This window comes from Homo sapiens, chromosome 2, assembly GCF_000001405.40.
Source record: "Homo sapiens chromosome 2, GRCh38.p14 Primary Assembly".
In the NCBI taxonomy this organism is placed as follows: Eukaryota; Metazoa; Chordata; class Mammalia; order Primates; family Hominidae; genus Homo; species Homo sapiens.
The window spans coordinates 148722787-148750002 of NC_000002.12; the positions used below are offsets into that span (position 1 = coordinate 148722787).

Genomic DNA, 27216 nt, shown 5'->3' on the forward strand with positions numbered 1-27216 from the left:
AGTAGACTGGATAAAGAAAATGTGGTACATATACACGATACATATATACATAGTCATAAAAGAACGAGATCATGTCCTTTGCAGCAACATGGATGGAGCTAAGGCCATTATCCTAAGTAAACTAAGACAGGAACAGAAAACGGAATACTGCATGTTCTCACTTATAAGTGGGACCTAAATAAACATTGAGAACACATGGATACAAAGAAGGGAACAAGAGACACTGGGACCTCCTTCAGGGTGGAGGATGGAAGGAGGAAAAGGATCGAAAAACTATCTATTGGGTTCTATGTTTATTACCTGGGGGATAAAATAGTCTGTATATCAAACCCCCATGAGATGCAATTTACCTAATAACCTACACATTGAGGCCCTGAACCTAAAATAAAAGTTTAAGAAAAAAAGCAGGTTATACTCTGATAAAATTGTTTCTCTTGATTGCAGGCATTGTTAAAAACAGAATGCTCTGGCACATTTCAAAATGCTTACCTTTCTGGAAGCACAAAGATATTTTTTCCCTAAGTATTCACTGTGAGAACATGGTTGAGTTCTTGAAAGGTGATACTCACAAAGGTGTAAGGGCTTCCCAGTGACTGAGATGCCTGGATTTTTAATCTCTCAGAATTGGCCATACTGAGTCAATTACAGTTTAGGTTTTCCAGCCCTCCCTCTCCCCCATTGGTTTTCAGGAGGGTTTCTGCTAGTGGGTTTCTGTTCCCGTAAGTTGTGATTCTGTGTATTCACCTCTGTCTCCAGTTTTGGGTGCGATGCTTTTGCCTTGTGACCTCACAGATTTAAGTGTTGTTTATTTTCAGTTTGTTCAGCCTTTTATATGTTGTTAAGATGGGGTGGCAACTTCTAAGTTTCTTCTAAGTTTCTTACGTGCCTACCTGGAAACCAGAAGTCTTACTTACAATTTTGTTTTCAGCTTTTTTTCCACTCGATGTTTAGACTTTTTTCCATATCGTCGTCTTTGTAATTTTTTATTGGTTGCATAATTTTTGAGGTTGATATACTTAAATTTCTTCTGATTGAGACAATTGGATTTATAACTTTTTAGAGGGTTTAACATTGATAACACTGCTTGCATTTGTAGCTTTGTTTTTTTAATTCTTAGAGTTCTATAAAAACTTTAAAAATCTCTTGTGGAATTTTTAGTGTTTTAAAAATGTCTTCAGTAGTAATATTTGTCTTTGACAGAATGGACTTTAATTTCAGAAAACCCATTCAGAGCCAAGTATGGTCAATAACTTAGATGTTATTTTGGTTTTAAAGAAGTTTTTGACTGTAAAATGTAGGACTCTTTTATACAATTTATAATCTTATTCTGAAGACAGTTTCAGAGAGCAGTTCCTCAAATGCTTTCTTTATTTTTATTGGAATATGTATGCTCCCTAAGGATTAAGATAACTTATTCATTTATTTTTTTAAAAATAAATTTTTCTCAATATTTTTGTTTTATAATTTTTAACTTTTACAGCTTTTAATAGATATAATGTACATATTTATGGGCTACATTGTGATGTAGTACATATAAATGTTAGTGACCAGATCAGGATAATAGCATGTCCATCATCTCAAACATTTATCATTTCTTTGTGGGGAACATTCAGTTATCCATCAATGCTGTAGAACACTAAGACTTATGCCACCTATCTAGCTGTAACTTTGTATCCAATAACAAATTAATTTTTTTTAAAGTCTCGTTTTATCTTCACCTCAATGAAAGCAAAATGAGTAGGTTTTATATTGTGTTCTGAAATATAAACAATTTAAGGCAATAGTTTAAAGAATTGGAGAATATTGTAGCTTATTCATTCACCAGTGTTAGTTGGCCCACAATGTATAAGCTCAGTTTTCATGATATAAAGTCATTTTTTATCTACAACCTCAGTAAAGAATTTTATTTTTTGTATAGTAACTGACAGTATTTGGCCACTTTTTTGGGAGATGTTTCTAGTGAATTTTTAGTCATTGATGATATTGAAGCAGGAACTGTTGATAGAGATGTCATATTGGGAGTTTAGGAATTTTAGTCCACTGACTATTGGAACCATTTCTGAAGGAGCTAGAATTATGATGTCAGATAGGCTGTTTTGAAGCGAACATGGATGGCACTGGAGGAATAAGGTTATAGTTAAGGAGTAGAGACCCTAGCTGCAAATTCACCTTTATTATTAGATGGTTATGGGCAGGAAATATTTTTCATCTCTTTGATTACTTTGGCCTTGTTCTAGTAGTATTTGGTATATAGTGTTAAGAGAAATTGAAATATCGATGAATTTTCTAATTTTTTGGAATATAGAATTCAATCTTTAAGAATCTTTATGTCTTAGAGTTGGCATAGATTTATATTAGAATACAAGAGATAGGTTCTGAGAAAGTTGTGTTTAAACATTTTGTTTTACTTTTTATTTTGAGACTATTTTAATTAAATTTTAAAATTTTGGCCTTATTTCCAGTTTATAGAGAAGTTTCAAGAATAATATAATGAATTCTATCTACTGTTCTCCATGATTCATTAAATGTTAACACTTAACAATATTTGCTTTCTGTTTTTTTAACTCTTTCTCTGTCACTTCTCTCTCTGTCAGCCTCTCTTTCTCCTCACCCTCATTATTTTCATTCAGAACCCTTTTAGAGTAAGTTGTAAATGTTATGCTTCTTTACTTCTGAGTACTTCAATGTATGGTTTTTTAAAACACAGACATTCTTTTATATAACCACAGCATTGTTATCAAAATCAGTCAGTTGTCATTGATACAATACAGTAATCTGTTGACCTCATGCATAATTTAATAATTGTCCGAAAAATGTCCTTTGCAGTGCAGAAAAATCCCAAATAATGCATTGCCTTTACTTACCATGTCTCTTCAGTCTACTGCTGAGTCTTTTTGTCCTTCATGCCACTGACATTTTTAGATTACAAGCCAATTATTTTCTCAAAAGTTCCTCAATTTGGGTATACTTGTTTCCTCATGACATGATTCAGTTTCACATGTGGTTTTTTTTATGCTTTATTGTGGTAAAATATACATAACATAAATTTACCCTCTTAACAATTTTTAAGTGTACATTACAGGTATATAGTTTAACTATGTCACATTGTTGTACAACAGGTCTCTAAAACTTTTACATTTTGTAAAACTTAAACTATGTATACCCATTGAACAACCTCCTGTTACCCTCCAGCCGCTGGCAACCACCATTCTGCTTTTTGTTTTTAAGAATTTGACTACTTTGGATACACCATATATGTGGAATCATGCAGTATTTGTCTTTTTGTGACTGGCTTATTTCATTTAGCATAACGTCCTCAAGATTCATCCATGTTGTAAACAAGATTTCCTTTAAGACTGTTAATAGTCTATTGTGTGTATGTACCATACTGTTTTTATCAATTAATTGGTCCATGGACATTTGGGTTGCTTCCACTTCTTAGCCATTGTGAATAATGCTGTAATGAACATGGATGTGGACACGTCTCTTCAAGGTCTTGTTTTCAGTTCTTTTGGATATATACACAGAAGTGAGATTGCTGGATCATATAGTAGTTCTATTTTAAATTTTTTCAGAAACTACTCCTGTTTTTCATAAGGGCTGTACCAGCGACAGTAGTACAGTAGTTACATTCTTACCAGCAGTGCACAGTTTCACTTTCTCCAAATCCTTGCCAACATGTGTAATTTTCTGTTAGTTTGATAGTGGCCATCCTAACAGGTAGGAGTTGATGTCTCATTGTGGTTTTGATTTGCATTTCCCTGATGATTACTGATGTTGAGCATCTTTTTGTATGCCGGCCATTTGTATATCATTGTGTTTTTTTGTTTGTTTTTTAATACTTAAAGAATTTTTTTTTCATACCTCAAAAGAGTTGAGTATGTATATCTTCTTTGAAGACCTGTCTCTTTAGATCCTTTGCCCATTTAAAAAATCTTTAAATTTTTGCTTTTGGGTTTTTTTTTTGTTTTGTTTTTTGTTTTTTTTTTTTTTGCGTTTTTTTGTTTTTGAGTTTTAGGAGTTCTTTATATATTTGGATATTAATTGTTTATCCACTACATGGTTTGCAGATATTTTTCCCTTTCCATAAGGTTGCCTTTGCAGTCTGTTGATTGTTTCCTTTGCCCTGAAGAGGTTTTTTAGTTTGATGTAATGCCATTTGTCTGTTTTTTCTTTGTTACTGGTGCTTTAATGTCATATCCAAGAAATCACTGTCAAATTCAATGTCATGAAGTCTTTCTTCCTGTATTTTCTTCTAGGAGTTTTATAATTTTGTGTCTTACATTTAGGTATTTAATCCATTTGGGGTTGATTTTTAAATATATGCTATAAGGTAAGGATCCAATTTCATTATTTTGCATGTGAATATTCAGTTTCACCAGCTCATTTATTGAAGAGACTGTCCTTTTCCCATTGTGTAGTCTTGGTATCCTTGTCAATCATTTGACCATATATGTCAGGGTTTATTTCTGGGGTTTCTGTTCTGTTCCATTGGTCTGTATGTCTGTCTTTATGCCAATTCCATACTGTTTAAATCACTATAGCTTTATAATTTGTTTTAAAATCCAAAGACTACTGTTTCAAATATTTCTGATGTCTTCTGTATACTGAGTTTATATCTTTGTCCATTCACTTCCTTACTAACATTAGAACAACAACTCTGTTAAAAAATAAATACTCTATTTAACTTTTCAAGTTCCTTACCATGTAGTGGCCTATGAAGATATGTTCACTTTCTATGACATATTTATTATTTTATGCCATTAGATGTTCTTAGTGGAATTTCTTTTTTTGTATATATAATGTTATTTTAATGTTAGTTTTTACTGGTTAAGCTAAGGTATTGCCTGAACACAGATGTCTGAATAAAACTTTTTGCCTTCATTCTATGCTTGTTAAGAGTGAGTGAGAAAGATACTGGGTTTGAACAGAAAATGTGGGAGAATCTCAGATGATAACAGAGGGATCACTGATCCAGAATATTTTTTAAAACACAAAATTATCTTTAGATTCACAAAATAACATGATCTTGTTTTATTTCAAAAGATAATGCATTCAAATGATTTCAAAAGAAAAGTGTATAAAAATAAACTCACTTCTGTACACTCTCCACTCCAACCACCCCTCCTTTATAAGTGACCACAAGTGACCATAAGTTCATGTATTCTTTTAGGGTTTCAAGCACATAGGAATTTGTATTCTTTTCTTTTCTCTTTTGAGACAGAGTCTCACTCACTTCATCACCTAGGCTGGAGTTCAGTGGCATGCTCATGGCTCACTGCAGCCTCAACTTTCTGCACTCAAGTGATCCTCCTGCCTGAGCCTCCCCAACAGCTAGAATCACAGGAGCTTACCATGTTGCTCAGGCTGGTTTTGAATTCCTAGGCTCAAGCAGTCTCCCACCTCGGCCTCCCAAAATACTAGGATTACAGGCATGAGCCACCACACCCTGCCAAGAAAGTGTATTTTTAAACCTTATCTTACATCTGTATGCTTTTTGTAGCACCTTGCTTTTTTTGTTTGTTTGTTTGTTTTGCTTAATAATATAGTCTCAAAATTATCCTATATTAATATGTACATATGTTCTCATTCTTTTTTTTTTTAATCACTGCATAATAGTCCATTGTTTGGGTGTGCTCGTTTATTATCCAGTTTCCTAGAAAAAACGAACTTAAGGCTGGGCACATTGCTCATATTTGAAATCCCAGCACTTTGGGAGGCCTAGACTTGAGGCCAGAAGTTCAAGACCAGACTGGTCAATATAGTGAGACCCCATCTACATAAACTAAAAAGTTAGCCAGGTGTGGTGGTGTTATGTCTGTAGTCCCAGCTATTTGGGAGGCTGAGGTGGGAGGATCACTTGAGCCTAAGAGGTCAAGGTTACAGTGAGCCATGATCGTGCTACTGCACTGCATCCTGGGTGACAAAGTGAGGCCTTTCCTCTTTTTTTTTTTTTTAAAAAAAGGCCGGGCACGGTAGCTCACGCCTGTAATCCCAGCATTTTGGGAGGCCAAGGCGGGCAGATCACGAGGTCGGGAGATCGAGACCATCCTGGCTAACACAGTGAAACCCCGTCTCTACTAAAAATACAAAAAATTAGCCGGGCATGGTGGTGGGCGCCTGTAGTCCCAGCTACTCGGGAGGCTGAGGCAGGAGAATGGTGTGAACCCGGGAGGCGGAGTTTGCAGTGAGGCAAGATCGCGCCACTGTACTCCAGCCTGGGCGACAGAGCGAAACTCCATCTCAAAAAAAAAAAAAAAAAAAAAAAAAAGCAAACTTGGATTGTTTTCTTTTTGTTACATATTATAAATAGTTCATGGTGAATAATGGATAACTGTGAACAAATAGAATTTCATAGAGATGTGATGATATCTGTTACAGAAGTTGCCAAATCACTCTGTAGGAGTTATACCATTTTGTACTAGCTTGTACAGGAGTGCTTGTTTTCCTACACCCTGTCAAAAGACTGCTTTTAGTTTTGAAATTTTGCTAATCTGACAGGTGAAAAATTACATACCTCAGAGTAGTATTTTTTTTAATAAGCCTTTTATTTCGGAAAATTTTTAGATTTACTGAAGAGTTGGCAAAGGTAGTATAGATAGTTCCTGTATCTATACCTCTCATCCAGTTTTAGTTTCCTTTAATGTAACATCTTGCATTACCTGTGTCAGAAGTACATTATTATTAACTAAACCCCAGACTTTACTTGAATTTCTCTCAGGATTGTTTTAGTTTAGATTTCATGTTAAGAATGAAGTTGGGTATCTTTTCATCTGTTTAGGAGCCATTTGCATTTTTACCTTCTAAACTATTACTGTCCTTCACCCAGTTTTCCATTTGGTTATTATAAAGCAACAAGGGATGGAAAATCTGATGAATGAGAAAAAACCTAAGAAAATGCATAGTTAGAGAGAGAATAAAAGGGTCATTATCTTTACACAACTGCCTTTTAAAATCATTAAAAAATATATATTCTTGTATCCCCTAGATGCTGTCATTAGGCTCTGTCCTCTCTGTAATTATGAAAATCCTTCCCTGAAAGATGTGCAGTATCCAGTTGCCATTCTTATGGCCTGTGGTTCTCATAGTTGTCATCATTACCACTAATTTTGGCCAGTAATATTTGTTACTTAATATAAAATGTGAATTTTGCAAAGGAGGAGAGGAGTGTAGTGTGTAGTTAGCTAGTCAGCAAAAAGACTAGGAATAATCTTGATTATGGCATGAACCTGGAGTTTTAAAAATTTTAAATTAGTCAGTAGACTTGGATTGCATTACCTTGTGGAATATGGCTTTGAACTTTTCTGCACTTCATTTTCTTGAGTTGTCAATTGGTAGAGGTGGGAGTTGTGCATATGATCTGCAGCCAAGTTTTATAATTCTAGGAAGTCTGGAAGATTCAACATGAAGAGTCCTAGGTATCAGCATTCAGGGTCTTTTAGTACATGTTTAAGCTAAAGTTGGAAGCTAGGTCAGAACTTTGGAGAGCTCCAAGCAAAGGAGATTATGGTGCTTGGGTTGCTTCTGAACTTTTAGATACATTTGCTTTTCATTAGCTGTCTTTAAGGTTATTGAAGCCTGAGAACCTTAAAGGTTTACAGATTTTTAAAGTTCAGTGTATTTCACAGTTACCACAAGTAAAGTTTATAATGTTTTAGAGCAAAGACTGTGGGTTTAGAGCAGTATTTCTCTAAACATGGTCCAACATCACTTGGGAACACGTTAGAAATGCACATTAACAAGCCCCACCCCAAATCTACTGGATCAGAAACTGATGATCAGGCCCAGTAACCTGTTTTAACAAACCCTTCAGATGATTCTGGTGAGTGCTAGAGTTTGAGAAACACTGGCTTACAGGCTTTCGTGATACTTACATCAAGGAGGGGCATCTGAGTCTGTCAGATCCCATGATCTCCTTAGGGTTGAGAAGTATACAGGCTCTGAGGAAAATATGGTTTTATTTAAATACTTCTTAGTTCATATGTCTACCTACTGAGAGGCCATTTTAGTATATACTAGGATCCATTTAACTGAAAGTTAGATATACAACAGCACTATTGCTAGACTTGTAAACTATTCAACCCTGCATTCTTTAAATCTACGTTTTATATTTGTGCATATAACTTCATTGAACATATGGTCCTGAATATTTGTTCTGCTTGAAAATGGATTTGTATCATATAGCTTTTATCCAGTCTTGTTTTTGATAATTTATATCTCTTGCAGTTAAGGATATCCTCTCTGCTTTCGTGTCTGTTCCTGCTGCTCTGTTTAGAATACCCTTGCATCTACTTTCTCTTTGCCATTTAGTATTAGTACCTAACCTAATTTAGAAGGGATACTGTTATACATGTTGTACTTGAGGTACAGTCAGTGTTGGTTGTTACTGGATTCATTGGAGTGGTAAAAATAGTTTTGAAAAGTTATATAAGAAAGGAAATACAGAGTTGCAAGAGGATAGACCAAAGAGATTTTAAGGGAATGACACTTTTGCAGAGTGCTGTTAATACTCAAAATAATCGCCTTTAGAAACAAGGTGTGCTTGTGTTTCTGTCTTATTTAGTTGCCTGCTATCAAGAGGTTTAGATATTGACAAATAATTTCCAGAAGTAAATATTTAGGATTTTTTTTTTGAGGTGGAGTTTCACTCTTGTCACCCAGGCTGGAGTGCAATGGCACAGTCTCCGCTCACTACAACCTCCGCCTCCGGGGTTCAAGCCATTCTCCGGTCTCAGCTTCCCGAATAGCTGGGATTACAGAGGCCCACCACCACACCCAGCTAATTTTTGTATTTTTAGTAGAGACAGGGTTTACCATGTTGACGAGGCTGATCTCGAACTCCTTACTTCAGGTGATCCGCCTGCCTCAGCCTCCCAAAGTGCTGGGATTACAGGCATGAGCCACTGCCCCCGGCCAGAAATTTACAGATGCATGAAAGTAGGGGCTTTGTATAAACATGGATATTGCTTCTCTTTACATTAAAAAACACCACCATTGATAATTCATAGATAAATGTTGGAAAGCTTAAATGTATAAGTCTAACAAAAATAATCTTTTGATTTATCTGTATCTTTGCTCCCCTTGACAGTCCAAAGAATTTTTCCTTACTGCTGTTATGATTAGAAAGGTTTAATTTAGCTTCTGTGTGGTATAGTGGGAAAAGTACTGAGCTCATTGTTCATTTACTAATTGGTAAGATTTATAAACAGTATCTCATTTATTTACAAAAAGCTACCACAGGGAATTTGCAGTCTTTTGTAACAATTGATAAAAAAGAGTGAATGTCAGTACTACATGGAAGTTGTCCAGGCTCTCTTATGGTTTTTCCTCACCAAGGGGAGCTAGAATCAGGAAATAAAGTAAAATCTTCTGTGGGAAGGGGCAAAGAGTTCTTTCAGTTCTATTATTCTAAGAAAATTAAAAATGACTGCCTGTACCTAAGGGGTTCCTTTCCCAGAGAGGTGCACCCGCGGTCTTGCACAGCTCTTAGCTAGTGACTGGTTGCATTTTCTCCTGATGCCGTCAAACAGTGCTTTATTGCAGTCTGTTTGTCTCAGCACCCACAAGTCAGTGATTCCATTCTGTTATTTTTGTCTTTTTTTTTTTTTTTTTGAGATGTAGTCTCATTCTGTTGCGTAGGCTAGAGTGCAGTGGCACGATCTCGGCTCACTGCAGCCTCCGCCTCACAGGTTCAAGCGATTCTCCTGCCTCAGCCTCCCAAGTAGCTGAGACTATAGGTGCGCGCTACTGTGCCCGGCTAATTTTTGTATTTTTTGTAAAGATGGGATTTCACCATGTTTGCCAGGCTGGTCTTGAACTCCTGATCTCAGGTGATCCGCCCACCTTGGCCTTCCAAAGTGCTGGGATTACAGGCATGAGCCACTGTGCCCGGCCATTTTTGTCTATTTTTAATATCCCTTGAGGTAGTAGCCAACCACTCTGAGTGGCTTATGTGGTCATCTAAAATAGCATTTATAGTTTGTTTGGACTCTGATAACAAAATGATAAGTTTTTTTATAAACCTGTATTTTTGTATGCAATTTTGCATATAAAGGATTTTTTTAGGAATATCTATCATGTTATAGCAGACATATTTGTATTTTTCATAATAATGTAAATCAAATTATAATGGTCAATTCTAAATATTAAGTGAATAGCTCTTTTTTTTTTTTTTTTTTTTCCAGTTAATAAAAAACAAGAAACTAACTTTAGGGACCCAGACACAAATTACTGGCCAAATTCAGACTTGAACTTTTTTGAACTTTTTAGAGCTAGTCAATCCTTAAGGAAGATTTTATTTTTTAAAGAATAATAGATTTCTTGCCGTTAGCTCCCATCCCTAAGAGTATTTCAAACAGTATCTCTTGATAATATCACATAAGATTGTTTTCTCTGTATATGGATGATGAAGCTGGAGAGAGGGCCTAGAGGAAACCATACCACAAAGAGTGAAATCTTGAAAATTGTACTTCCTTAGTAGCCTTTGCTGATCATTCACATTCCCAGTTTCTCAGAAATACTTTACTTTTCCTAATGAACTTAAACTAGGGATGAGCAAATCTTTTTTGTGTAAAGGGCTAGTTAGTAAATATATTGGGTTCTGGGAGGCCACTATTGATCTCTATCACATATTCTTCTCCTTTTCTCCTATTCCTTTTTATTATTACCTTTCTCTTTTCTTTCTCTCTCTGGATTTTTTTTTTTTTTTTTTTTTTTTTTTTTTTTTTTTGATACAGGGTCTCACTCTGTCACCCAGGCGGGAGTGCAGTGCCGCCATCATAGCTCACTGCATCCTTGAGCTCCTGGGCTCCAGCCATCCTCCCAGCTCAGCCTCCCGGGTAGCTGGTACTACAGGCTTAACGCCACTGCCCCCAGCTGTTTTTTTGTAGTGATGGAGTTTCACCATGTTGTCCAGGCTGGTCTTGAACTCCTGGGCTCAAGCAATCCTCCACCATAACCTCCCAAAGTCCTGGGATTACAGCCGTGAGCCACCGTGCCTGACCCTTTTTATTATTACTTTTAAAATTATCCATTAAAAATGTAAAAATCTGTTTGTTCATTTTGTTTTACCTTTTCACAGCCTTACCAAAAACAAGCTGCAGGCCAGACTTGTCTCACAGACCATAGTTTGCCATTCCTTGGGCTAGACTGTTTTAACCAAAGAAATAATTAGAATCCACTGGAAAGTAGCTTAGAATCACTTTTCTTTTCCAAGAAAATGGAAAACATATAGGAAAAGAAATGATTTGTGATATCACTTGTCTTTTACTTAGCAAGTCCCCATGCCTGGTTGTTTATTACTTCTTTTTTGCTTTAAATTAGAATTTTATATATATGGACTCACAGAATAATAGAAAAAATTATTCCTACATGTAACCATGGTTGGATACATGTTATCCCCGTCTTTTTTTTTCTATGAATTAATTTGAAATGTTTCCCCATTGAAGCCCTAGTGACTTTAAGTTTTATAAATCAAAAGCACATTGGGTACAAATTAATCTTTAAAAAAATAAGCCAGAGAAATAGATGTAGCAGCTCATACATGGGAAGTGTTAACCTTCAGAGAGGCAGAAATAAGTACTTTTTTTTTTGCAATACACTTTTATGATTTCCAGTTATTCATAGTTGAGACTTCAAATTATTTAAACTAAAAACCATGATTTCTGTATACAACGATTATTAAGAACGTTAATATTAAAAAGACCTATAAAATTCTATAGTACTTGACTTTCACTTCTGGCTAAATTAGAGGATAGTCTTGATCTACTAATAGGGTATAGTAATGGAGTTCAGTAATAATAATTGCTTGCCTTTATTGAACACATACTTTGTAGGGGGCAGTGTAATATGCACAAATTATTTCATTTAATTTCTACAAGAATCTTTGGAGATAGGTGCATTTATTGCCCTTGTTTTATAGCAACTAATCTGTTATCCATCTCTATTATTTTGTCATTTCAAGGAATGTTATGTAAGTGAAATCTACAGTATGTATATAACTTTTTGGAATTGATTTCTTTTTTTTTTTTTTAACTCAGCCTAATTCCATTGAGATTATCCAAGTTGTTGCATGTGTCAGTAGTTTGATCTTATTTATTGCTGAGTATAATTTCATGTTCTACAGTTTTTTTTTTATCATTGAAGGACATTTGAATTGTTTCTAATTTTTGGCTATTATGAATAAAGTTGCTATGAACATTTGTGTGCATGTTTTTATGTAAACATAGTTTCCGTTTCATAAATATTTTGTACAAATATATCTCAGTTTTCCTATTCTTATTGATGGACATGTTTTTGCTTATATGAATATAATGTTATGAATGGCCTTGTGTGTGTCATCTTGTCCACATTTATGAGAGCTTTTCTAGGTAGGTTGTGGGCCTATAAGTGGAATTGCTGGGTCTTATAAAAAGTACATGTTTAACTTTAGATACTGCAGAATTGTTCTTCAAACTGATATCAGTTTATATTTTCACCAGTAGTGTATGAGAGTTCTTGTTGTCTCATATTTTTATCAACACTTGTTACTGTGAAACTTTACAATTTTTGTCAGTTTGATGGGTATGAATTGGTATTTGTTGATTTAAATTTGCCTCTTATCAATCACAAAAGAGAAGTTAAACATTTTTATGTAGATTACCTTTTCCTATCTTTGGGTCCATTTTTCTCTGGGTCATTTTCTTACTGAATTTTTAAAGAGACTCTTTATATATTCTACATATTTATCTTTTTAAAAACTTTTATGGAAAAATTTTAACATTCAAAAGTAGAAATAATAATAATGAACGGTCATATACTACTGGCCAATATTGTTTCTCTATACTTATACCTTTTCTTCCACCTCCATGATTTTATAGCCATCCCAAAATTATTTGCTCTGGGGGTATTAAAGCATAGTTATAATATTATCTAAAAGTATTATAGTAATACTATTAATATGTAATAATACTGTTAGAATAATATCATATCACTCCTTAAAAGAAAAACATCGTTTTCTTAATATCATCAAATATTTAATCAGTGTGCATATTTCTTGACTGTCTTATAAGTGATCTCATTTATCTTACTTTTTTTTAACAGCTGATACTTTTGAATTGGGATCCAGAAAATTTCCATGTGTTATAGCTGGTTAATCAGTCTCTTAAGATTCTTTTAATCAGGAATCAAGCATTTATCTTTCTTTTCTATGTACTGTATTTCAGGATCTCTGAATAATTGAGAAAGAGGAAGGTTCTCTTTGTAGAAGTATTCCAGCTAATGTAAATCAAGCAGGAATGATAAAAAATTATTTTGTAACCCCTAATGAATTAGTGCATCAAGGTAATTGTCATTAATGGTTGCTGACATCACAAAAGAAGAGAAACAATGAAAAATTATATACTTCCTGATGGAGACTGATTTTTTAGTACTCTCCAGAAATGATTATGAGGATGTTTATTTTGTTTTAAAGTCATTATGGATCATGGATTTATACATTTGTATTATATTTTAATCCATTGAATTTATTATCCTTATTGCTGTTTTTGGGCAGTAGGAACCTATTCAGGTTTGCTCTTGAGGTTTTTTTTGACGTGATAATATTATACCAGAAAGCAAGAAAACTAAAATGTGGTAGGGTTACCTTACATGTTTTCCTGGCCCAGATCTGAAGTCATTCATTTCCACAGGGTGCTCTTGTTTCTTTTAGTGGGAAATTGTATTTGGAGACTGTAAGTTGGGTCCTAGGGGTGTTCATTACTACTGGGTTGGCCATGTCTCTAAGATTGATTAGTAGGCCTGACCTATGAAATATGCACTTAAAAAATTTTGAGATAAAATACATCATGAATTTATATTACGATTTCTCTAATTCAAGACTAAAGGTTTTAGCCTTCCACACTTTTTTCTACAGTTACTTTTTTTCCACACTTACTTTTTTTTAATATCAGTTCTTAAGGGCATTTGCATAATCCCCATGTTTTGTCACAGTAGTCTCAGAATAATAATACCAACTCTTTCACCAACAATATAATTTTACCAAAAAAGTTTCAGGGCCGCACACGATGGCTCATGCCTGTAGTTTCAGCAGTTTGGGAGGCTGAGGCAGGCAGATCGCTTCAGCCTAGGAGTTCAAAAGCAGCCTGGGGAACATGGTGAAACCCCATTTCTACAAAAAAAAAAAAAAAATTAGCCACGCCTGGTGGCATGCATCTGTAGTCCTAGCTACTTGGGAAGCTGAAGTGGGAGAATGACTTGAGCCCAGGAGATCAAGACTGCAGCCAAGATTGTGCCATTGCACTCCAGCCTGGGCAGCAGAGCAAGACCATGTCTCAAGAAAGAAATAAAACTAATTTCAGGTTTTTTTGTTTGTTGATCGATTGATTTTTGCTTTTATTTCTTAGGGTATTCCCACTAGAAATGTACAGTCACTTTACAGTATCTTAAAGGCACTTTCAGTAGAACCCAAGTGACAATTGGCTTTACTTGTTCCATTTACTTTGTAATTTTAGGGATTTTTTTCAACACGTTATTTCATTTTGTAATTATGTAAAATATTTACATGATACTAAAAGTCCTATCTATAAAATTAAATATATTCAAAGAGGTCTAGTTATTACCTCTATCCCTGCCTCCCCACACAGTCTTATTCCTGGGTGGCTGACAGTATTTTTGTATTTATGGCTGAGGGGGTTGCTGGAGATGGAGGAGTGGGATGGCTGTAGTGGAAGATTCCATGGTTCCATTTGTAGACTTCCACTACTCTCTTTCTCCTTTGGTATGGAGCTTTGTACTTGCCCTCAGCGTGCCTAGTGCTTCAGAGTCCACAGGCTCTCTGAAGCAACGTTTGTAGGTCAAACCTTCAGTCTGATACTATTTGGAAGGAAAAATAGTTGCATAGCTACACTGAATGAGGGAAAGAGTAACTGTTGATTTCAGCTCTCTCAGGGATGTCCAATCATTTGGCTTCCCTGGGCCACATTGGAAGAAGAAGAATTGCCTTGGGTTACACATAAAATACACTAACAGTAATGATAGCCGATGAGCTTAAAAAAAAAAAAGTGCAAAAAAATCTCATAATGTTTTAAGAAAGTTTACGAATCTGTGTTGAGCCACATTCAAAGCTGTCCTGGGCTGCATGCGGCCCGTGGGCCATGAGCTGGAGAAGCCTGCTCTGAGTCTTTAGATGGGGCCAAGGCAGGGGTTGGGAGTGGGTCCTGCTTCCTGTTGTCTGTCCCCTGCAGCCATTTTATATTTTAGCATTCTCTTTGTCTGCTAATACATGCCATTTATAACTCTGAAAATTTAATTGATGGTTCTCACTTTGTTTCTGTTACCCGTAAAGATTTATGCCATTTGAAACAACAACAACAACAACAACAAAAACTCCTTTGCTTTTGTTTTAATGGGATTTTGAGATAAGTATGTGTTCATTTTGCTTTATTTAACCAGAAGCTATCTCTGTGCTCACATTTCTGTTAGAGGAAATTTGGCCCAGGTACACTTTAAACCCTGGCTGTTTGAGAGCCAGTTGCTCATCTGTGATCCCACAGATACCCTGTGGATTGGAGTGTCACCTGTCAAACATGGCTGAGGAGAGTCTAGGGACAGACACACACAGTGATTAACATCTATAAATACAGAGATGGGTTTACATAAAGAGTTCTAAATTCACAGAATTAAGTTAGAAAAATTATAGTGTGGTTTTTGTTGTTATTATAAAGCCTTAAATTTAAAGTACTTTTGATTGGTTTACATTCAGTCTATTAGAGGGTACTTATGCTATATGTGCAGTTGCATCCTAGTTGTGTAAATAACCAGAGAAAAGAGGGTAAGTGACATGAATTCTGGGTGTTGAGTGTGTATTGTCAAAAGGACATATGATGGAGACTGAGTATAGAAAATAGAATGTTTTGGAGTCAGAGTAAGTGTAGCCATTTATAAAAATAAATTAGTGAGTTTATAATTTAGAGGCTTTAGGAAGGCAAGAAATAACATTCCTTTCTCTTCTGCTTTGAAACTAATTGATAAATACGTGGACATAAAATTTCAGCTTTATTACTAATAAAAGTGGTGTGGAAGGTGAGATATTTGGCCTTCATGGACATTCTATTATTTAACCCCTGAATTAGACAAACATACTCTAATGCTGGTTGGTCACTGAGAGAGCAGGTCTCCCCCTAATAGGAGCAGAGTCAGCCCCTGTGCTTACCATGTAGTGGAGGGCTGACTAGAATGCTGCCACTATGAAGGAAGGAAGAACCACTGGAGAACATGTACCCAGAAGCTGTTGACCGGATAGGTCCTTCTCCCAGGTTCACAGTTCGTCACTCCTTCCTTGGCTGAGGGGAGAAAGAACAAGTGAAAAGAAGCTGAAAGTGTGCTTTCTAAACTTTTCCCTCCTGGAGATTTGAATGGAAATATGGAGAATAAATGTCTCCCCTAAACAGTTCTATATAACAGGTATTATATAGCAATCATATTCATATTCATAACAGTATTATGAAGTAATGGGCAGTAACTGGCCCATCATTATGTGCCACATTGAATTGCATGCTACTCATTTTATACCATGCTTGGTAAGCCCCCTTTAACCTGAAAATATCTTGCCATTTTTTGGCCCTGGAAAATTTTCCTCATACCGTTTCTTCTCCTGGGTTCTCTGTATTTTCATTCCACTAAATAGCTGTGCTTATTAGATACTTACATATGAATATGGCCAAGTACTAAGGGACTTTGAAAGGTACTTTTAATTAGAAGTAATATTTGCTTTACCAACTAATTTTAGACTAACTATATATATTTTGTAAGCTATAACCAGTCAATGTGTGAATGCTTTATATATTCAAACAGCAGGTTATACCCACTTCCTTACCTACACAGAAGCTGTTGCTCTTTTTGCCAGAGAGCAACCAAATTTTCCTGAGCAGTGGTAGCTACCTGATGGCTACTGCAAGGAACTTCTCATCTACTTTCCTTCCTACTTGCTTTCTTCTTCTAATAGTAGTCATGCACCCTCTTAAATTCGCTTATTTTTCTTTTCTTTCTTCCTTTTCTTTTCTTCTTCTTCTTTTTTTTTTTTTTTTTTTTTTTTTGGTTTACTGCTCGGTTAACTTCACTACAGGAAGTCTTCCATGTACACACAGACACATGCCCTTATTAGCTTTGTCAATATCTTAATTCTGTTGCTGTACTACATCAAGAAGTTGTCAAGTGTCCTGTCTGCCCCCTTCTTTATGTTGAGGTGGGAGGTATTGTTTTATCTGTTTTGTTTGGTTGACTGACCTATGAAACTAACCCACTATTTGTAAGAGTGGATTTTTTAGCAGGAGAAAGCTATCTGGGTTTCAAAAAGTGAGGTATCAATCAACTTAAAATATTCTGCTTGTAGTTTAAAAGAATCTCTTCTTATATTTATATATTTTAGAAATGCTATTTTTATTCAGTAGCTTTTAGTATGTCCTCTTTTTTTTTTTTTCTCTAAGTGCCATGTAGGGAGTATACAGGTATGACTGAAGTAATCACTGCTTTTAAAGAATTTTTACCTCTGTCTGGTAGAGGAGATAATAGAACCTGAGGTAAAGAGAGGTACAGGCAGGCACCTGTACCTGGTTTAAAAGCAACAAAATCTCCAAAATCTATAATGATTCTTATATGGGTTTTGAGTGAAAGAGAAATGGTAGTATAGAATACTTAGACTGCTAGTGCAAGTCTTTGCCCTGGTTCTGATTTAACACATTGTCAGATCTCCTATCAATTCTCACTATTAATTTTTCTAAACTATTTCCCAGCTTTTCTTGTTCCTTCCCCTGCCTCACAAGCTGGGGTGCTGGCTTTTGTAAGAATAGAATAAGAAGATAGAGCAGATAGGAGGTGGAGGAACAAGAGGTGAGTAAGATTAGGTAGGTGTATAAAAGATGGTCATGCAAAATTTGTATATATAGCCTTGCCCTTGAACTTTTGAAAACTTCTGTTTAACTTATAAATTCAGTATATTGTGTTAACTCTGCTCCACACTTTCCTAAATCTTTCTCTAAAATGTCTTCTAGCTGTATCAACTACCTGATTTTATTGACTGTTTGCTGTTAGTATGTGGATTAAGGCAGATCATTGGACTGTCATTATGTGCATTTACAAATACAACATCCTTTGTGAAAGGAAGAGTAATTTTTAGTAATCTATGTAGTTTATGAGCTCTGTATCATTTTGTCATTGACTTTGATGCAGATTAGATTGACTTTTTAAAAGCATGCTTTTGAATTATTGATTATCATATAATAAAGACAAGGTTTTACATAAAAGATAAGAGAAAAATGCATTTTATTCTCAAGAATATTTTAAATGAATCATACTTACAAAATAGTTTTTATCATTAGTTCACCAATAGCTGTAACTCCTCTGATTTAACTTTAGATTATATCGCATACTTAAATACAATAACACAAATTTTAGAATGTGGGACTCATTGAGAGATGAAATACTGCCTACCACATAGGATGGTTGTGACAGTTAATTTAGTATGTTTAAAGCACTTTGAGTACTACCTTGCCCATAGTACTATATAAGTTTATAAGTGCTAGCTAACATTTATTTTTGTTTTTATTATTGTTATCTAGTGGTAAAAATTTCTTAAGCAATGAACTGAAGTCTAGATTTTTGAGATGTAGTCCTTTACTGATTATAAAGCAAATGCCTTTAGATATTTTAACTTCATCAGTACTATCTGTAGTAGGAGGCTGATTTTACTAAAATTAGATAATTATATACATCTGTTCCTATTCCTTTGTTAGTACCTTTAAGAAAGTCATGCTGAATCTGAGAATGCCAGGACATTTCACGTGGTATGAATGTAGGATATTCATTTACACATCGCTGCACAGACAGCCTCTATATAACCAACCTGTTGGTTATTGATATCTCTTTTACTGCCTTACTCTAAATCTTGTCATGTAATTTCAACACATAATTTGTGGCACTTTAGTTTTTTTACCCTTTATAGTTTAATAACTTATACATGTACATGCTTAAAATGTCAAACAATACAAATGGGAACAAAGAAAATTGCTTCACCATCTGTGAACCCCTCCTTTTGTAGTCCCCTTAACCAGAAATAGAGATTACTAGTTTTAAGTATTCTTTCAAAAATATCCTGTGCATTTACAAACACATGCATATATATCCAACCTTGTCCTTTTTAAAACACATATATTAGTGCGCTATATATACTATTCCTCCCCTTAGCTTTTTTCATTTAATATTTATGAAGATCAGTTTCATTCTATGTCAGTATACATGGGTCAATGTCTTTTTCAGACCTTCAGTCTATATATTCCATGTATGTGTAAACTATCATTTATCTAATCCTACACACATTGTTTGTTTTGTATTTTTTACTTCTTGCAGTGTCATAACTAATACCCTGTGTACATATCTTTGTTTCTGTGTATGTTTATATGTAAGATGAATCCTAGAAATAGAGTTGCCAAGTTCAAGAGGATACATTTTTAATGAAACTAAATACCAGTTTATAATTGCCTACACACATGGTTTGAAAGGGCTTTCTTCTGCTGCTCTTTCTAGAGTAGCATATTATCAAGTTTTAGATCTTTGCTGAGTGAAACCTATTGTCTTATTATTGTATATTTATCAATCTATCACTGAAGTTACACTTTTTTTATGTTTAAAAGTCATTGACATTTATTCTTGGCTGGGTGTGTGGTGGCTCATGCCTGTAATCCCAGCAGTTTGGAAGGCCGAGGCAGACAGATCGCTTGAGCCCAGGAGTTGCAGACAGATCGCTTGAGCCCAGGAGTTCCAGACAAGCCTGGGCAACATGGGGAAACCCCATCCCTACAAAAAATGCAATATTAGCTGGGTGTGGTTGTGCACACCTGTAGTCCCAACTTTACTTGGGAGACTGAGGTGGGAGAATTGCTTGAGCCCAGGAGACAGAGATTGCAGTGAGCAAGATCGTGCCATTGCACTATAGCCTGGGCAACAGACAAAATGAGACCTTGCCTCAAAAAAAAAAAAAAAAGAAAAATCATTGATATTTATTCTCTACTAAAATACCAATTCACATCATTTGCCAATATTTGTTGAGTTACTAGTTTTTTTCTAATTTGCAAGAAATCTTTAAGAAAATCAGCCTTTTATTTATATAGTACATCTTTTTCTTTTTGTTCTTTGTCTTGACTTAAAGTTTTCTAAGTAGAAATTTAAAAAGTTTATATAGTCAAATCAATCTATTTTTAATCAGTGTTATGGCTTCTGAGTTGCTGCCCGTGCAACATTCCCACCCTGTATGTTCCTCTAGTATTTTTATGTGTTTTACTTTTTACCATTAAATTTTGTTGAATATGTCACTTACTGGTGTTAGAAGTAGGGTAGGAATTCAGCTTAATTTTTTTAAGATAACTAGTCTGTTATGCCAACACTCTTTTTTTTTCATTAGATACCTGTTTTATCCTCAGTAATTTGAAACATCATTTCCATTATACTCTGTTCTTGAGCTTGTTTCTCAATTCTTAATTTTGGCAAAGTTTCTCATTATGCCACCAAACTACCATGTCAACATGTATATGTCATCTTTTTTATAGCTGCTATTTTATATTCTGTTATACATTTTCAAAATAAGATATTTCTTAACGTTTTTACTGTTTAAATCATATATAAAGCAAAATTTTATTTTTTCTTCCACTGTGCAGTAAGTCTCTGAAATTAATTGTGGATACCTTCTCCTGAGCTCCCCTTTAGTCAGTGCACTGTAATTTAGAGGTAGTCTGCAGTCAAATATGATGAACAATGTATAATTTCATAATTTCTCCTGAGTTTGAAGAATTTTTCTTTCTTTTCTAGCTTTTAATCTAGACAACGAGCAACCAGATTATGATATGGATTCAGAAGATGAGACTTTATTAAATAGACTTAACAGAAAGATGGAAATTAAGCCTTTGCAATTTGAAATTATGATTGACAGACTTGAAAAAGCCAGTTCTAATCAGGTACTGTACCATGTAAAGATGTCTCTTATCTTCTAGTTAACCCAATTTGCACCTTTATAAGACCTGAGTGTGTTGCATTTTACTGTTTCTTGGATTTCTTTTCCTGACATCCTGGAATTTCTGTTTACAATGTTCCGTGAGTGGAGAGTACTTAAGCACAATTTCTTTGAATAAGAGTATGAAGAGTACTGTTCTGACTGTTTTCCTGTTTGGATAAAAATAATACTAGTCACAATGTTATAATATTTTATTGATCCTTTCCATATGACTAGTATTGGTGCTTCCATAACTAAATTTGCTTGCTTGGATCTTTAAGGCAGTCATCTTATGTCAAATCTTGCTCAGATATTAAGGTACTCATCATTTTAAATGGATTTTAATTTTAATTACTTATACATTATTTCAGTTCAGTGAGGGAAAAATTATTTACAAAAGAATATTCTTTAGTGAGGTATTTTATATATGGCACAGGTAATTTAAAATGGCACTGTCTTTCTGGAAAGCAGTTAAGCAGTGTAAGTCAGGAGCCTAAAAATATTTATGCACTTTGATTTAATAATCTCATCTTTTGGAATTGTTCACAAGAAAAATAATTAGAAAAAATGTCAGTGATTTTTGAGCAAGAATGTTCAGAATAAATAAGATGTCTCTGAGGTAGACTATAACACAGGCATTAAAATCATGATTTTGAAGGATGTCTAGTGCCATAGGAAATTGTACATTATATAATATCAGATTTAGAAAACAGGATACAGAACTCTTTATGTGGAAAACTTTGAGGTTTGTTTAATCATTTATATTTATACATGTGCATAGAAAGCAAAAGAATAAGGAAGTTTACAACAAAATGCTAACAGTGGTTATATTTGGGTGCTGCAATTGGTGATTTTTATGTTCTTTATCCTATTTTTCTATGTTTTCCAAATTTATCATGAGCTATGTGTTGATACTATAATTAGATTTTTAAAATAAACTTTTTAAACATAAGTTTTGGTGTACCTGTGTGGTATATTAATGTGCTAATTGTTATTAACATTCTAAGAAGTTAGAGTTGCAAATAAACTTTTTACAGTAGATTGTTAAAACTTTTCATTAGTTTACCCATACAAATTTATTATTTTACCCTACAACTTAAATCTTTTAAATCTCTAAGGCATTACAAGCTCTTCAGAGCATTTTCCTTTGGCAAGTGACTTTGCTGCATATTTAGCCTATCAGTTTGCCCCCCCCCCCCGCACCATTTTGATGAAAAATAATATCCACTGTACTATTCAAAGAAATACATTTTGAAAATTGCATTTTGTAAAATTCATGTTACTGGTTTTTGAGAGATTGTCTTACTTGGTTTTTTGTTGGGAGTTCTAAAAAAGTACCAACTTGATGTTCATTATAATTGGTGACTTACAGTTTTCCTGGGATTTTAATCGCAGGCATCAGGTAAAGTTTCAGTTTTTCTTTAGATGTAAATTTTCTTAGCAATCCTAGGCTGGATCAGCCTTTTGGTATGTTTATGATTTTCTATGATTGCTCAGAAACTACTCATAGTGGCTGAGATGATACCATCAGAAGCCTTCAGCTCTCTGTTCTGTAATTTGCTTTCTTTGAGTCAGTAAGCAATATTTAGTGTCCAGGTGGACAAGGCAGGTGATAGCAGTGAGTAAGACAGATGACAAAAATTCTGCCCTTGTTCAGCGTATTATCCAATTGGAGACAGGATAAACAAAAAAACATGTAAGCAATACAGTTAACTGTGCACATATAATCAGCCCCATCCTATTTTAGTTCTCTTTGCTCAGGGACAAGCTTCTAGGCTGTGAAACAAGTAGCTAGGCACAGAGCATGATAGCATCTACTTTCAGCAATGGAAAGTAAAAGTGGAGGTTTTGTCATTGGAACAAAGTAATGGTCCTGCATTAGAATCAAGGATTAAAGATAACAAAGGGCTATCTTCATTCCATTCCCTGATCTGTTAATTTATGGATCTCTTTACTTTTCCTTTATGGGGGCTGGCATAGTACTAGGTCCTGGGACAAGGAATCAAGTTTGTAGTTAAACTACTATTTATTAGGTTAACAGAAAACGACAAAAGATAGACTTAGGCAAACCTGCCTCTGTTATTCTGGGAGACTATTTCAATGAAGTCATGATTGAAAACTCCTGTTGTCAAATGCTGTAATTATTTTCAGTCCCAATCTGTTTATTTGATTTGTGCTCTCATGTCTTGGAGCTGTCTTCACCTTTTTTTAAAAAATAAAAATACAGTTTATTCCCTCTGGTTTTATTGTTTCTCATGACCATTCCTTCTTTCTTTTGCTTGATCCCTTTCATTCAACTCCTGTAAACATCAGGGTTTCTTGAAATTCTGTTCTTGGTTTTCTTATCCTACATATTTTTGTGTAATATCAGCTCAGTGAGTATTTTTATAGATATAATAATGTATTACCTTTGGCCTTGACCTCTTTCTCAAACTCCAGGATTTTTTTCCCCCTTTTGGTTTTGCCTATTAACATCTTCACCTGGATGGTCCACAGTCCCCTCAAGTTTATCCTTTTGGGAACTGAACTTACTGTCTTACCCTATGTAATCTTGTAATCCTTATCTCTTCAGTAACTCCCAAACTCAGATCCATCCATTTTTTATCCCTTTCCTTCATTGATAACTAATTCACTTCAGGGTTTGTCAGGTTTTATCAAAGCACTGAATGAAGGAAAGGGATTTGACAAACCCATGAATTGAATGTTATCAAATTGTTTGATTTAGTATCTTCTTTCCAGTGTGACAGACAACTAATTGCAGTACCTAACCTGAGACTGAATCTTGTAGTGGATGGGAGTAGGGGGATGCTATGAAGATTATTTTTGAGTCAATTGACAATATTGGAATATAGAGAGTAGATTACATAATATTTTCAATGTTAAATTTACTAAAGTTGAAGGCTGTGATTATGAAAGAAAATATCCCTATTCTTAAGAAATATACACTTAAGTATCTAGGAGTAAAGAGCCATGATATGTGTAACTTCCCACCCTCAAAAGGATCAGAAAAAAAATTGTATACACACACACACACAATTAGAGCTTAAATGCACACAAATGTTAAAGCAAATACAAAAGCTAACAATACATGAGTCTTGGTGTAAATGGATATACAGTGTTCTTTGAAATGTTTTATTCTTGTAAGTTTTCTAAATATTTGAGATTAAAGTTAATTTTTAAAAATCACAAGCCATCTTAAATGGCATTCTCTTTCATAGGATTTTCTCTAAAATAAATAATAAAACACTTTCCAAGAAATGTGTTTTTAATTTTTCTTTTGAAAACCCTCAGTGTTTTAATGTATAACCCTTATCTCATTCCTAAACTATTGAACACCCGATTTTTAGTTACTGATTAACCTTCTATATACCCTATTGACCTTTCACTGCTCTCCACTTATCACACATTCCCATAGAAAGACCACTCCTGCCCAAAACAGAACTCTCCTTCTAACACCCTGGGTAATCATTTTCCATCATTTTCCTTCCTTTCTACCTCCATACTACCTTTTACTCCTGTAGAAGCATAATCCTAAACCCTTCCTAACTCTTCCTTGTGTACCTGTATAGTCCTCGAATATTTTATTTTCACTTATCTCCTCTCTCATTTCTTCAATCTTTCTCTTTCTGCCCCAAAAGGTGCCCAAGTCCCTATTTCCAGGAGAACCCTTTCATTTGACCCCATCCTTCTCAGCAAACTACCACCCATTGTCTCTTCTTTCTTTGTCATAGTTAAATTTTCAGAAGTTTGGCTATACTTGGTGCTTCTTATGTTTACCTTTTACCCACATCACAATCCATTTCACTTTACTGAAATTGCAGTGTTTAAGGTTACCAGTGGTCTCCTAATTGTCATCAGGACCTCTTTTCAACTTGTATCCTACTTAATGTCCCTGCAGTATTGAATGATGTTGACCAGGACATTTTCCTGATTATTGTCTTCTTTCTTCATCTCCTCTTTATCTTCAGTGTTGATATTTCCTTTGTTATCTGTCCCCTGCATTTTTTCATTTATCTTAAGCTGCTAGTAGTTTTTTGCTGGTTCCCAAATGCTCCAGAGCTGGATTTCTAGTGGAACCTTTCCACCTAAGCAAGTATTTCAAATTTAACATCTCCAGACCTCCTTTGCCTCCCCCAGTTTTGCTCTCTGATATGGTTTGGATTTGTGTCCCTGCTCAAATATCATGTGGAATTGTGATCTCCAGTGTTTGTGGAGGGCCTGGTGGAGATGATTGGATCGTGAGAGTGGATTTTCCCCTTGCTGTTGTCATGATAGTGAGTTCTCACAAGATCTCACAACATTGTTTTACAAGATCGATTCACAAGATTGTTTCACAAACTTGTTCTCACAAGAATATTTAAGTGTATAGCACCTCCCCCTTCTCTCTCTTTCTTCTGCTCCCACCACATAAGATGTGCCTGCTTCCCTTTCGCCTTCTCCCATGACTATAAATTTCTTGAGGCCTCCCCAGCCATGCTACCTGTACAGCCCGCAGCACCATGAGCCAATTAAACCTCTTTTCTTTATAAATTACCCAGTCTTAGGTAGTTCTTTATAGCAATGCAAGAACAGACTAATATACTCTCTTTCTTAATTAATGATATCATTTTCATCTTCCTTCTAGTTGGCCAGTTTGCACTTTAGTGCTGACTTCTTTAAAATCATCCCAAACATCACTAAATCAAACCAGTTTTTTGTTCCACAATGTTACACAGGTTGAGTATACCTTATCCAAAATGTTTGGGACCAGAAGTGTTTTGGGTTTTAGATTATTTCACATTTTGGAATATTTACAGATATATAATGAGATTATTTGGGGATGGAACCCAACTGTAAACATGAAATGTATTTATGTTTCATATATACTTTATACACACAGTCTGAAGGTAATTTTTTTACAATATTTTAAATAATTTTGTGAATGAAACAAAGTTTTGACTGCATTTTGATTGTGATCTGTCAAATAACGTCAGGTGTGGAATTTTACACTTGTAGCATCATGTTGGGACTCAAAAAAAAATTGATTTTGGAGCATTTCAGATTTATAGATTAGAGCTGCTCAACCTGTATTTGTTGCCTGTACCATGTTCCCTTATTTTTATTATTTTTCAGCTGGACCACTGCTATTCTGCCACTAGCTATTTTATTAAAAATTCATCTTCTTAAAAAAGAAAAACTTCATTGGCTTCCACTGTCTATAAAGTGAAATCTGAACCACCTGATTCCAGCCATGCTGAACTTCTTTCTGGTCCTCTAATGTACCATACCTTTTATAGCTTTACATTGTTACTTCTGCCTGTAATGCCAGGTCCTCTATTTATAATAGTTTTTAGTAAAATTATCACCTTGGGATACAGGCTACATGTTTACTAAGACTGTAGTGTAAGACTAAATATTTGCTGTTCCAGCTATAGTCCTCATGCCGGTGGTGTTCATAGTACCAGCAGCAGTGGTTTCCCTACTGGATCAGTTCTGTGGCCTGATTTTAGGCATTATGGATTCCAAGCCTGATTCACCAGTACTTCTGAAGGTGTAGAACTATCCAGTATCTTGTAAATAAATTCCATCTATTGCTTGCAAATAGAAACTTTGACTGATACATGTTCTCAACCTTCATTGTACTTAGAAAATTCAAATTAAAAGCGCCTAAAACTCAATATAATAATCACATCATCGGTTTTTTTTTTTTTCATCATGCAGCATTTTAATTGTTTACTTGATACTGCATTATTGATTATGCTTTGGATGGGGCAGACCACAAGCAGTGGCAGTTAGGAAAATGTGGTTCTCACGTGCACTAGGAACAAGTACATTTTTACATGGGAGAGGGTGCCTCTTGTATTTTTTAATTTAGTATGTAGCATGTTGAAATGGATATGTTCTTTACTATGATGTTAAAGTATTTGTGTATTAAAAATGAAATTTGGTCTAGATCTTTTGAAGCAGTCCCAGTGAACCCCATCACACAATAAAATTTTAAAACCACCATACCATGCTGTAATGTGTGTGTACATGTATTTTATAATTATGTTATATAAAGTTAATGAGCAGTCAGATTATAAAAGTAATTTGAGTTTATGTCTTCCATTTCATCTCATTTAAAGTGTTGTCCTATCCAGATTTGTTTTAACTTTATATTATTAAAAGATCAGGGGGTCATTCCTATGACTGCAGAGAAGGTTAGTTTCAGCATCAGTGAT

General features: G+C 34.8%; 1 protein-coding gene across 4 annotated transcripts in view; it reads left to right on the plus strand.

Annotated features, from left to right (window-relative positions):
- Nucleotides 1–27216, plus strand: part of EPC2 (enhancer of polycomb 2) — a 142819-nt gene that overhangs the window by 78036 nt on the left and 37567 nt on the right. For 2 of the 4 annotated variants that reach the window (NM_015630.4, XM_011510941.3), the window contains exon 3: nucleotides 20836–20981. In NM_015630.4, the coding sequence (NP_056445.3) occupies nucleotides 20836–20981 (146 nt within the window). Of the gene's footprint in view, nucleotides 1–13073; nucleotides 13321–17073; nucleotides 17866–20835; nucleotides 20982–27216 lie in introns of those variants that run through there. The other 2 variants (XM_011510943.4, XM_047443897.1) reach the window with 2 other exon arrangements.